Source organism: Homo sapiens, chromosome 14, assembly GCF_000001405.40.
Source record: "Homo sapiens chromosome 14, GRCh38.p14 Primary Assembly".
Lineage (NCBI taxonomy): Eukaryota > Metazoa > Chordata > Mammalia > Primates > Hominidae > Homo > Homo sapiens.
Genome location: NC_000014.9, coordinates 59,184,421 through 59,196,681, shown reverse-complemented (window position 1 = coordinate 59,196,681; position 12,261 = coordinate 59,184,421). Strand labels below are relative to the sequence as shown.

The 12,261-nt window shown below is 44.5% G+C and overlaps 1 protein-coding gene across 4 annotated transcripts in view, besides 7 other annotated features; it reads right to left on the bottom strand.

Moving 5' to 3' along the window:
- Positions 1-8,015, bottom strand: part of DAAM1 (dishevelled associated activator of morphogenesis 1) — a 182,739-nt gene extending 174,724 nt beyond the window's left edge. For 2 of the 4 annotated variants that reach the window (XM_005267431.2, XM_047431135.1), the window contains exon 1: positions 7,768-8,015. The gene's annotated coding sequence lies outside the window, so the exon portion shown is untranslated. The remainder of the gene's footprint in view (positions 1-7,767) is intronic. The other 2 variants (XM_005267430.3, NM_001270520.2) reach the window with 1 other exon arrangement.
- Positions 6,383-6,432: an enhancer, noted in NCBI's record as "active region_8458". NCBI's record gives its function as "activates an Ori minimal core promoter by ATAC-STARR-seq in GM12878 lymphoblastoid cells {active_cell/tissue: GM12878}" and the evidence as "EXISTENCE:reporter gene assay evidence [ECO:0000049][PMID:35858748]".
- Positions 6,733-7,492: an enhancer, noted in NCBI's record as "NANOG-H3K4me1 hESC enhancer chr14:59655908-59656667 (GRCh37/hg19 assembly coordinates)". NCBI's record gives its function as "activates a minimal SCP1, AML or CMV promoter by ChIP-STARR-seq in naive H9 embryonic stem cells {active_cell/tissue: H9 hESC(naive)}" and the evidence as "EXISTENCE:reporter gene assay evidence [ECO:0000049][PMID:30033119]".
- Positions 6,733-7,602: a biological region, named in NCBI's record as "NANOG-H3K4me1 hESC enhancer GRCh37_chr14:59655908-59656667".
- Positions 6,863-7,022: an enhancer, noted in NCBI's record as "active region_8457". NCBI's record gives its function as "activates an Ori minimal core promoter by ATAC-STARR-seq in GM12878 lymphoblastoid cells {active_cell/tissue: GM12878}" and the evidence as "EXISTENCE:reporter gene assay evidence [ECO:0000049][PMID:35858748]".
- Positions 7,383-7,602: a silencer, noted in NCBI's record as "silent region_5804". NCBI's record gives its function as "represses an Ori minimal core promoter by ATAC-STARR-seq in GM12878 lymphoblastoid cells {active_cell/tissue: GM12878}" and the evidence as "EXISTENCE:reporter gene assay evidence [ECO:0000049][PMID:35858748]".
- Positions 7,663-7,802: a silencer, noted in NCBI's record as "silent region_5803". NCBI's record gives its function as "represses an Ori minimal core promoter by ATAC-STARR-seq in GM12878 lymphoblastoid cells {active_cell/tissue: GM12878}" and the evidence as "EXISTENCE:reporter gene assay evidence [ECO:0000049][PMID:35858748]".
- Positions 8,273-8,512: an enhancer, noted in NCBI's record as "active region_8456". NCBI's record gives its function as "activates an Ori minimal core promoter by ATAC-STARR-seq in GM12878 lymphoblastoid cells {active_cell/tissue: GM12878}" and the evidence as "EXISTENCE:reporter gene assay evidence [ECO:0000049][PMID:35858748]".

Sequence of the window (12,261 nt, the reverse complement as noted above, 5' to 3'; positions counted from 1 at the left end):
AAGCTCCGCCTCCCGGGTTCACGCCATTCTCCTGCCTCAGCCTCCGGAGTAGCTGGGACTACAGGCGCCCGCCACCACGCCCGGCTAATTTTTTGTAATTTTAGTAGAGATGGGGTTTCACCGTGTTAGCCAGAATGGTCTCGACTTCCTGACCTTGTGATATGCCCGCCTCGTCCTCCCAAAGTGCTGGGATTACAGGCGTGAGCCACCGCACCCGGCCCATTTCTTACAATTAATTTTGTAGTACATTCTGGGGATTTAGAAGGGTCCCTGGTCTAAACCTCTTGTTACAGAACTGCGGGTTCTAACTTGTGTCTAAACATTTCCCTGCTTGGTTTTACCAAATCTCTATGAAACTAATACAAATTTAAGCTTAGGCACATATGAACAATCTATCTCATCTGGTGAATAATGTTGACCACCATCCTTTACTCTTCTTCTTGGGCACAAATATCCAGAACTTTATCTAAGAGTAAGTCCAGAAGTAGCACCCAAACACACATTGATGGCATCTGTCATTCTGCCAAGAAAGGAAAAAGATCAAGGCTATTGGCTTTGGCAAACTTTCAAGAAGCTGCCCCTAGTCCTGACCTAATCTTCACAGGAGGACAACTGTCAGAAGCATACGGTTCCTTAGCAAGCTGCTGGCAGTCTTGCCTCTCACTTACAGGGTTTTCCTACCAGTTCGCTTTAAAATATGGCACCTTTTTTTGCCCTTAGTAGTGATAGCTGTGCACTGATATGTCCACAATGTACAGTCTAGTCCCCAAAAGCATGATTAATTTAAAAAAAAAAAAGATACAGAAAAAATCTGACTAGAATTACAGGTACAGTTTGTGGCTCCAAAACAAGGCAAAGCTAACCCATGCCCTTGACCTGGTTTGTATGTCACTAACAAACTGAGCTAGCCAACAAGCCAGAATATAAGAACCTATCTCAGAAAATAAAAGATGGGCATCTGTATTACCCCAACAATGCCCAAAGCTAGGATCTGGGCTATCTACTCTTGTAAGCCTAAATTCAGGAAGTCTATCAGATAGGCAACATTTTCCAATCACACTGCAGGTATTTTTTTTAGACATAAAAATGACAAAGACCAGTTTAATAGGTGACCTTAATTGTGTGCCAGCAGAAATACAGGTAGCCTTAAAACCCCAATCCTGGTGTAATTTATAGAACAGAATAAACCCAGGTTATTACTAAAGGTGAATGACATACTTAAAAAGTATAACAAGATGAGGCCAGGCGCGGTGGCTCACGCCTGTAATCCCAGCTCTTTGGGAGGCCGAGGCAGGCGGATCACGAGATCAGGAGATTGAGACCATCCTGGCTAACACGGTGAAACCCCATCTCTACTAAAAATACAAAAAATTAGCTGGGCGTGGTGGTGGACACCTGTAGTCCCAGCTACTCAGGAGGCTGAGGCAGGAGAATGGCGTGAACCTGGGAGGCGGAGCTTGCAGTGAGCTGAGATCGCACCACTGCACTCCAGCCTGGGCGACAGAGCAAGATTGTCTCAAAAAAAAAAAAAAAAAAAAAAGTATAACAAGATGAATGATTAAGAAAAAAGAAAAACCTTCTGAAATCAATGTCTGTTCAAAAAATTTTATGATTGTGTAGCCTAATGGCTAACAAGCCTTTTGTTTTCATGTTTCCCTTCCTGGCAATATGCCGTTAAGGCATAGCTTTCCTATTATTTCCTTGTGTTTTAGTCAATTGTCTTCATTAAATATTGTCTAAGTGGCACAATATCTAGTTTTAAGCCAAAAGGAAAAGATCTATTGTAAGTCACGAAATCGCACCAACTGCATTGGAAATTGAACTTGCTTCCCTGGTTTTCCCCATTTAATTCACAACTGTGGCTATGGTTTAAAAGAATAGAAATTGTTTATTTGGCACCAAATTTGCTCCACTGTAAAAATAAATAAAAGTATCTCTTCTGAGGTGGGGGGAAAAAGTTTATTTTAATATCTAAGGCTATCCAATATTAGATTACATGTTTGACTACTGCTCAAGTGTTCATTATTTTCTTTTCAAAAGAGCTTTCACAATGTATGTTAAAAGACTACAGGGAAGAGGGAGGCTGAGAAATTATGGGCCCTCTTAACTCTCAACACAGGCTTCTGTGGCCCTGTTCAGGGTGAGAAGATCTTTTATCAGATGAGGGATTCAACCCAGTGAAAAGTTACCTCACTTAACAAATAAGGTCTAATGCTGGACAGGCTCCAAACAGATTTAGAGTTGTAATATAAGAGCATTTCCTTTTTCAAATAATTTGTCTATCGTTCATACAGCAAAGGAGAGCTCCAAAGTTTTATCATTTAAATACTCAAAAACAACATTTTTAATCTCACACAACATTTTCTGTTCCAGAAAATCAGGCTGTAAGAACCTGTGACATGAAGAAGTCATTTTACTCTCAATTAATCCAGGACTTACTGACCCAGCACTGTCTGAGAATTAAGAGACTCAAAGGAAGCTGTGATTACCCCAACTCGAGTTGCAGAGAAAAGAATAACGTGCCGGAAAGTCAGAAACCAGGCAACATCAGGATGTATAAAGAACTAGACTGCTTGAGTCCCTAACCTGGTCTGCCACTTACAGGCTGTGTGGCCTAAGCTAGGCAAGTTCTTTAACTTCTCTGTGCCTCAGTTTCCTCATCTAGAACATGGCAATAAAAGTATCTATCTTGTATAATTATGTGCAGTCAATGACGTAGCCCATGGAAAGTATTAGAAAGGGCTTGGCATGAGGTAGGCACCTCACATACAATATCGGTATCAAATTAGCTGTAAGTGTTGTGTGGTCAAGCTAAGTGCTTTAAGGAGGAAGGGCAGGGAAGGCTTCGTGGAAGCTGTGGCACCTGAGCTAGATATGAAAGCACAAGATAATCCAGACACTCAGAGGGAAGCACATTCCAGACGTGGACAGCCATTACTGCAGAAAGTCACAGACAGAGTAAAAACCAGGAACGCTTAAACATCAATGAGGAAAACAAGCTCACCAAAGCTGAGGGTGTATTTGGTAACCCCAGATTAATTGGGAGTGATGGGGAAGGCTCTGCACACTTGTTGCTGTGCTTCTAGGACTTAACATTCAGTTCATTTTTAGACACATGTTCTATGTATGCAAACTTGTGGACTATGAATGCAAACTCTCCCTGAAATGCTCTGTTCTCCCCCTGCTCCTAGAACAGTGGAAAGGATACTAAAAAATTAAAAGGTAACCTTTTATTTCTGAAAAAAAAAATCTGCTGGATGAAATATAGGTCACTAAAATCAACTTGAATCTCATGTTCGTCTGTCCCTGTTTCAGTGGGGCTACAAACAAGGTGACAGCTCAGAGAAAGGGGGTGAACTTCAGATCCACACTTCAACGCTGGTCTCTATCAGCAGCCTCAGCCACTCTAAATAATATAATCTACATAAAAGACAGTACACTTGCTAAGTGAATGCATCTTCAAGAGGGGTATCATCCACCCTAGCCTGATCTGTCAACCAGACATTACCTCCAAGCCACATACAGAAATAGAGAAAATGCTCTCAGTACCAGTTTCTTAAATAGTACCTGTGCAATCAATTTCCTCTAAACTTTGAGGGTTTTGTTGTTGTTGTTGTTGTTGTTGTTTTGAGACGGAGTCTCGCTCTGTAGTCCAGGCTGGAGTTCAGTGGCGCAATCTCCGTTCACTGCAAGCTCCGCCTCCCTGGTTCAGGACATTCTCCTGCCTCAGCCTCCTGAGTAACTGGGACTACAGGCACCCGCCACCACACCCGGCTAATTTTTTGTATTTTTAGTAGAGACGGGGTTTCCCCGTGTTAGCCAGGATGGTCTCGATGTCCTGACCTCATGATCCTCCCGACTTGGCCTCCCAAAGTGCTGGGATTACAGGCTTGAGCCACCGCGCCCGGCCTAAACTTTGAGGTCTTGAAACCACTACAACAGATGCTGTGCGTACTTAAGATTGGTATTCACTTAGAATATTACCTCTATTACCAAGTTAGAAATTGTAATACCAAAATAAGTCACCATATTCCTCATCCAAAGAGGAAAAAATCACAACAGAATATAGAACTTCTATTTTGACTGGTGTCCCCTCTAGAGAGAAAACAAGTTTGCTAACCCAAGTTGGACACCTTGCTTTGTTTCCGGCAATATAAGGATAGACTTAACACTGGAAATACCAGAGCACGGCTTGAAGCCAGGGAGGGCCCCACAGCAGTTACAAGCTCTGTGATTATTTCCTGAACCAAACACCTAGGGCACTCAAGGATACCAAGCTTTGTTGGAAAAGCATGTTTCCTCTGGTCCAACAGCTGCAACTTTAAAGTGTTTTCACACAAGACCTCAAGTTTCTCTTTATGCCATCTCCCAAATATTTACAAAATGAAACACTTTCAATCAGAACTTTTGCTTGTAAACACCTTATTTGTTTTAAGGACCATAGTGCCAACACTAAAAGCAGCCTTTTAAACAAAGTAGCTCAAAACCACACACACACACACACACACACACACACACACACACACACACACCCCTTAACAAGCAGAACATGTCCACAAAACAAGAAAGCCAGGATTCAAATTCCTTAGCACCTATTCATGGAGCTCCTGTAAGCACCACCCAAGGATGTGACCCACCACACCCTCTTCATTATCACACCTCCTCACTAATTTACTAATTTATGCTCCTGAAAACCCACAGAATCAGACTACTGGATGGTAACATGTTACAAATATTGGGCAAATGTTCTTTCACATTTCTTTCACATCAACCAGCCTGAAACAACTGATCCTGTTTACGGAACGGCTCTGCCTCAGGTGAGAGGACTATTGTCTCCCAGCTCTTCTGGGAGACACTGGTGGCCTGGCAAAGGCTTCTGGGTATCTTTCTCTTGGTGTCTCTCCCTATTCACGTGTCACACACCTCCTGGGAAGATTATCTGGGCCAAGGATAGTGCAACTGAGAGAAATCTAGAAATGCCTGGTTCAGGGGTAATAAGAAATTGTAACTACAAAGAAACAGTCGATGTGAGTGAATGTATTCTAAAAGCAAATAATTAGGAAATATGTCTATTTCAAATACATAGAAGGCCTTTTATGCCAGACAAGTTTTGGTTTATGATGAAATGAAACTGCTTGATAGAAAAGCTAAGGGGAATATTACCACGGATGACAGAACTATCAGTGGAAATAATAGACCTTGGATCTCCAATCATAGTTCTGCTACTTAATATTCGTTTAACATATATTTATTAAAGACCTACAAATGAACAAACTGCTCTAAATGCTGGGGGGACAGAAAAGGACAAAACAAAGACACTGCCCTCAAGGAGCTTATAATCTAGTAGGGTAGACAAGCAGAAGAATGAAGGAAATTTTCATTTAATGGTAAGTTCCAGGAAAAAAGTGACAACTTCTGATCCTGTTTCCTCATGGGGATGTAGCTACCTACTTAAAATAAGATCGTAAGTGTCAACCACCAAGCACACAGCAATCCCAAGCATTTACCTGACTATGGATACACATGCACAGACACTCTCATATACACACTTTCCCCCATAATTGCAACATCTGTGATAATGCACATTGGTATAAAATGCAAGCAGAGGGGAAACAAAATATTTATATGTCAATTACACTTAATGCAATTACAAATAACTGCATTCATTAGGAATCTATAAAAAGGCAAAACCTAAACAATTAGTTATAATACTAAAGTATAATTAGAAGGGTCCAGATACTGGAATAATAGTAGTGGTAGTATAAACAGTATTATAAATAGTCACATAGCTGCCTTGTCCATATAACCTGACGGCACAGTATCAGAAGCCAAGTTTAAACCCTTAACTTCAGATTACTTTGGGGTCGGGGACGAAAAAGGACAATGACCAAGTCTATCTTGGAATCATAGGCCATTGCGCCTAGAATTAACGTTAGGAAACCCTCTCTACCCTTTCCTCACATTACCAAAGAGAAGACTGAGGTTCCCAGAGGTAAAGGGTTAATCCCAACGTGGAGTAGCCAGTGACTGACAGAGCCAGAGTAGGACCCAAGGCTCCTGGTTATGGCCCTGCATGCTTCACCCTCAAGGACCTGCGCCCTCTAGCCTGGCTTTAGATTTTATGAGAACCACAAGGGACTGCAGTGTCTTCCAGCCGTTATTAATTGTCCCTAATCACTTCCAATCAGCTGCACCTAGAGCAAATTGAGGGCCTTTGCTGGTGACCAGAGAGCTCTCTTTATGCACAACAGGGGAGGGCGCCTTTCATGACAAAGCTGCCTCCAACACCATAAACTACCTTATTGGGGAAATGATGCGGCTAGCCCGAAAGGGGGAAGAGATTTTTCAAATTATAATTTTCAGAGTTTGCCTCAGGAAAAAGGCGCCAAACAATTAGTTTCAGGGAGAGAGGTGGCGTGATGAGGTGTGGCACGGGGAAGGGAAAGGGGTTTAGAACTGTGTCCAAGCTATTTAGGAGAGAAAGGGGAGAGTCCCGGGGCTGTGAAAGGGGCGAGGAGGAGAGAGCAGCTGGGCCAGGGCGAGCGTTTGACCACACCCACTAGCCACTCCCTCCCAGCTGCCCGCAGAGCCACATCGAATCGAAACAGCAGTGGCAGCGGCTAAGATTCCGAAGGCAGGAGTCGCCATGGCAACGGGATTCATCTTGCAGGCAACTCCGCTTCGATTCACTGGGTCCTGCTCGAATCTCAAGAAACTACCAGCAAAACGGTCACGGTGGCATTTGCTCTTGATGCTCTCCAGAAAGTGGAGATGAAGGAGAGGGGAATGGAGTTCAGGCATCACTAAATATGTTATGGGGCGAGAGGTAGCTCCGCAAAGCCAGGCCGTGAACAACTTGAGACCTTAGCAGGGTTTGATGAATGAGTAAACGAACAAATGAAGGTACTAGGAAAGGCAAAGAACATCCAGAGGACTGAGAGCTCTGGGCCTCCTGCACGTCTCCACTCAGAGGGCAAGCCGATCACAAGCAGTTGGCTTTCAGAACCAGCTGGGTAAACCCGATTATCCAGCCCTCCTGCCCCACAGCGAGCCTAATCATTAGATTATCCGACACCTCCACCCCCGCGCTACCACCTCCTGGCCCAGGGCTTCAGGGCAGGCGCTTCGCCCCAGCCCAGGTGCTCTACACCAAGGGACCGTGGAGACTGAGATGCGCCCTCCCGAGAGGGACGGGCGGCAAAAGCCCTCTGCGGTGCCTCACAACCGGGTCCGCAGGCGGCGCAGCCTCCCCGGCCGCCAACACCCTGCTCTCCCTCCGCAACGCCCGATTTCCCTTCTCTCTGTTTTGAAACATTTAGGTCCAACTTAGTCTGAATTACAGGCGCTCCGTCCCTTTCGAATGGGGCTGGAAGTGAGGGTGCCAGGGGCACTGGGGGCTCTGCTCGGACGCGAACGGGTACACGAGTCCCTCCTTCCCTGTCGCCACCGCCGTGTCCACCAAGCCTGCCTCGGGGTTCTCCCTCTCGGAGCCGCCGGGCCGGGAGCTCGCGGACGCCGCTGCAGTACCCGCGGCCCCAGCCCCGGGGAGCCTTCAGCAAGGCGGCGAGTGTTACCCCGCCAGCTCCTCGGCCAGCCGGGCGCCTTAGAAAGAAAGGGAGGGACCCCAGTCCTTGGGGGCGTCTTCCTCCCTGCTGCCTCGGTTTGCGTTGCGCTGCAGCCATTTTCCCACCCCCAGCTAGGCAGCCGAGAGCTGTCTCGGTCCCGTTCCCACCCAGACCCAACCTGAAGGACGGGTTTAATATTTACCTACTGGCCCGGGAGCTCCGGGGAGGCAGCAGGAGGGCGCGCCGCGAACCCAGCGCCCAGCCCACGGAAGCACGCCCACCCCCGCACCACTGAGCAGTGCCACTTAATGAATGAGTGCGGCGGGCAAGGAGGAGCGTCCCCCTTACCTGAGCAGCCCCTGCATGCTGGAAAGGCGGCTCTGCACTCTGGGTACAATGGGATCCGGTTAAACAGTTTCCTTCACAGCCGCTCGTAGGTTACTAACTCGCAGGTGACATCACCCTCTCCTCGCCTGATAGGATACAAAGTGGCTCCCACTGCGCATGGACGCTCCGGTCGGGCGCGCAGACTCCTGGGAGTAGTGGTCCCAATCTATTAGCGGAGCCGGGACAGCTTTGCTGTCGGGACTCGCGGAACTACATCTCCCGACACACTCCTCCGCCCTTCTGCCCCGCCTCTTATTCCCGCCCCCTTCAGGACCCGCCCCCTCCCAGCCTTACAGCCTTGCAGTGTTAGCGGTGGTCGTTCCGAAGCCGAGCTGCGGACCGCACGGGAGAGTGGGAGGGCTGCCCTGCGGTCGTGTGTGTTGACTTGACCTCTACTTTGCCCGGCGCGGGCTCTGAAGGATCGGAGAGGTCCGGGGCTCGCGTGGTCCGGCCAGGCTCGCTCTAACTGGTCTTTCTTGGTCCCTGCTGGGAAGGGACGATTAAGACTTTTCTGCCTTCCCCAGGCGTAGCAGCTAATTCAGAGGGCTTACTGTTTTCTGGGTTAAATACGGTCCTCGAATTCTCCCCGCTCAACACTTCCAGAGGATGGGGCGACGCCGGTCCCAAGGCGGAGGAATCTCCTTGTACCCCCTCAATTCACCTTTCTCTTTTCTGCTTCCCGTTTAACGGAGACAAGGTGACCAGGCAGAACGCGGGGAACCACTTAGTCGGCTGAGCTGACAGAATAACGGAGGTTGTCACTACCAGAAGTGCGGTGTGATAGACTAGACAGTCGCCGCAACCCTCCGTCAGGGCGCCTGCTGCTGCTGCAAAGATAATACTATCGTGCAGCCATGCTTTTGTTCATCCCTGCAGCAGACTTCCCGCGCTGGTGGCTCTCCACTCCCAGGAAGAAAACGTCCTTGTCTAAAGTTTTAATAATTGTGTATCTATGTATACACATGTTTTTAAATCCACAACACTCTCACCTCATTTTCCATACCTTTTCAAATATTTTTATAAAGACATTAAACCAAACAACATCGTGCCGTTCAAGAATTGCCCTGCTCTTAACACACCTAAATATTTATTTAAAGGTAAGCAAAAGGTGTGTAGCAGAATTCTGACCCTTTAGGCAGGTTGTATTGTTAATACATAATTTTTTCCGTGGCATTTTTCATTATTCAGTGAATACCAAGTGTCTTTTAATATGAAAAGAATCAATGCATTTAGTTACTCGAGTTGTAAATGTAAATTTTAATGGCATTTGATGTGTCTCAATTCCATATAATGATCAGCTCACACACCCGTTCCACTAGCAAAATCTCTAGAAGACTGTGCATCTTGTGAAAAAAAGGTTCACAATTAAGATTTCAGACAACTCCCTACTGAAGTGTTGGTGGAACTCTTATCATTTATTTTCTCCTTTCATTCTGCAACACTAAGTTGGGTTCAAGTGAAAAAATATTTATGAAATTAGTTGAGGATCTCAGGGGAGAGGAAATGCTTTGTTTTGCTCAGAGAGATGTTTAGCGATGAATTCTGATGTTCTTTTAACAAGCCTGTTCTTTATAGACAAGACCCACTTTTCTCCCCCGAAAGAAGATAGCTTTGAATGTTGCTCTTCTGTCCTCAGCTACTTCTTCCATTTCAAATATTATCTAAAATGAACTCTGACAATATAAATTTTCCCCTGGCCATCAGATCAAGGATATAATCACTGATATTCTAACTAATGGGTAGACTTAATGTAACGCAGTTCATGGTGGAAAAATATTCAGAGAGAAACTTGACCTGGGATGATTCTAAAGGCTCTTCTAATTTTATAACTGTGTAAAGCTTTTAGACTGAAACATAATCAGTGAGCCTGAAATTTATTGAGTCAATAAATTGAATGTGGAGCCTTTCTGTTAAGACAGGGCTTATCCTTGTAGATAAAAGTATGTTACTGAGGCACACTCTGAGGAGTAATTTTAATGGAGAAATCACCTTACAACAAGTTCTCTTGGCTCTTCAGTAATGAAGGAGAAGATGCAGTCTGTCTGAAAACAAAAATTCCATTCTCTTTAACAATATTATAGGGATGTGCCATGTGACATAGTCATCTCCATATAAAGGACAGCATACACAATAGACTGTAAGCACATAAATGTGGAGAAATGCACATGTGAACTGCTCTTCCTATCTAATAGCTATAAATATAGATAATAGATGTAGAAAGAGGGCATTGTGTTTGGAAAAATTATCTGCAAGTGGTGATGGATTTGAACTGATCCCTGCACAGTTTCATTGGTAACCAAGGGAAACAAAGATGGCTCTTTAACATGAGAAATACAGTCTGTAGAACTAGCAGCAGAGGAGGCTTAACCACTTCTTTGGAGACAGAAGGAAACTCACACACACACTCTCTCTCACTCACTTTCATACACAATCATTGTGTATGTTTGCATTTAATTTTTTCTAGGTGGCCAAGTAGTCTCATAAATCATCAAAAACACCCACTCTGTCTAGCTAATTGATATTCTCAGTCAAAATGGGTTTCTTTACTTTCTATCTTTTCATTTTACATAACTGCTGCTGTTCTGAAGACCTTATGAAAAGCCCTGCCTCATCCCATAATCGTGGCCTATTAATTAGGAACCTGTGAGACCACTAAGAACAGATTTGACAGTCTATACAGGTAGGGGATGAGGAGAAGGCACCACGAAGCATTTTGATGATCTTTTAAAATCACCTCTCTCAGTGCTGGTTATAAGGTTTTACTCTAGATACTGGATTTTAGATAAAGGAGGAAATGAGTTATCAACAGAGAGAAAGAAATGAAAGTGTGTAGCCTTGCGTGTACTTTCATGCAATAGCTTGGTGTTTTGCAACAATCAAGGTTGTATGCTAAGCCCAGGTTTGGGATTGTGCCATTCCATTATTTGTGATCCATGTTACTTTGCATATTTGTGTTATTTATTCTCTCTGAGCCTCAGTTTCCTTATTTATAAAATAGGGTTAATAATAATATATATTTCATGAGGTTTTTGAGGATTAAATTAAATGAAGCATGTAAAAATATTTTTCAAACTGAAAAGCACTATACAAATGTTAGTTCTTGATATCATTTGCAATTTTTCCCAAAAGATTATCTCAGAAATGTCAGGCCTAATTATGGAACAAGGTAATAAAAACCCATTTAAATTAAAAATTCTTATTCTTAACAGAGACTATTAGAAAGAATATAGCATGCACATATTATCTCACTCTAATTGGTAAGTAGGCAAAATGTACTTTGAAGACTAAAATGAGAAATTCAGGGTTGAACAGTGCCAGTCCTTGACTTGTTCTCAGATCTATATGTTCTTCCTCAGGATCCCCTGCTGTCCTCAGTAACATAGGGAGCTTTTCCCAAGCTTCCCAGCATGGAGAGGCACTGCTGGGGGATTGTAGGCAGGAGGAAGAGAGAAGCTAGGGAATTTCTTCACTTCCTCAGAGGTGCATTGGGTGATGTTTCTGGCAGTGGCAGCAGCATTTTCCTTGTTGGACTGGTCTGTCATGGTTCCAGCTTCTTCCAGGTCACCCTGGCCTTGTAACACCACCTTCTCCCTTTGTCCCTCTTGCCTAGCGGTAGAGATAGCTTCCTGCTGTTGCTAATCTCTGCGTTGGGTGTTTGGCTTCACAGATCTTCTATCACAGTATGGCCAATTCTCTGGACCACATTATCTCTGTTTTAAATACTACTTAGAATCGTTTCTGTTTTTTTGGTGGAACACTTTAACTGACATACTCACACTTTAGTTAAAGTTCTTTTAGGGGCAGACAACAAGAACTTTCTATGGCCAGTTTATGCAAAACAAAGAATGTAATGGGATTTATTCAAAGGATTAGACAACCAAGGCTCAAGACAAACAGGAACTGGACAAACTAGGAACCTAAGCAGTGGTAGTTTTCAGACCTCTCCAGAGCACTGGTCTACTAGCACTAAGACTCCGAGCTCTTTGTTCCAAATTTCAAATTCCTGAGAGAAGCTTATTGTCCTATGTCAGGCAACAGTCCCTGACTTAATTATCTTAAAGTACAATCCCCAGACCAGCAACATCAGTATCACCTGAGAACTTGTTAGATATGCAGATACTTGGGCCACACCTACACACCTACTGGAAAAGAAGCTTTAGGGATGGGTCCCACCACATGTGTCTTCACAAGTCCTCCAGCTGAGTCAGACACACTTGAATGTTTTTGAACCATGGATCTACAGCAAGCGTAACAAGATTGTGTGGCTCAAATATGATCACTCAGGACCTATCCCCGTGTGTCTGGGAGT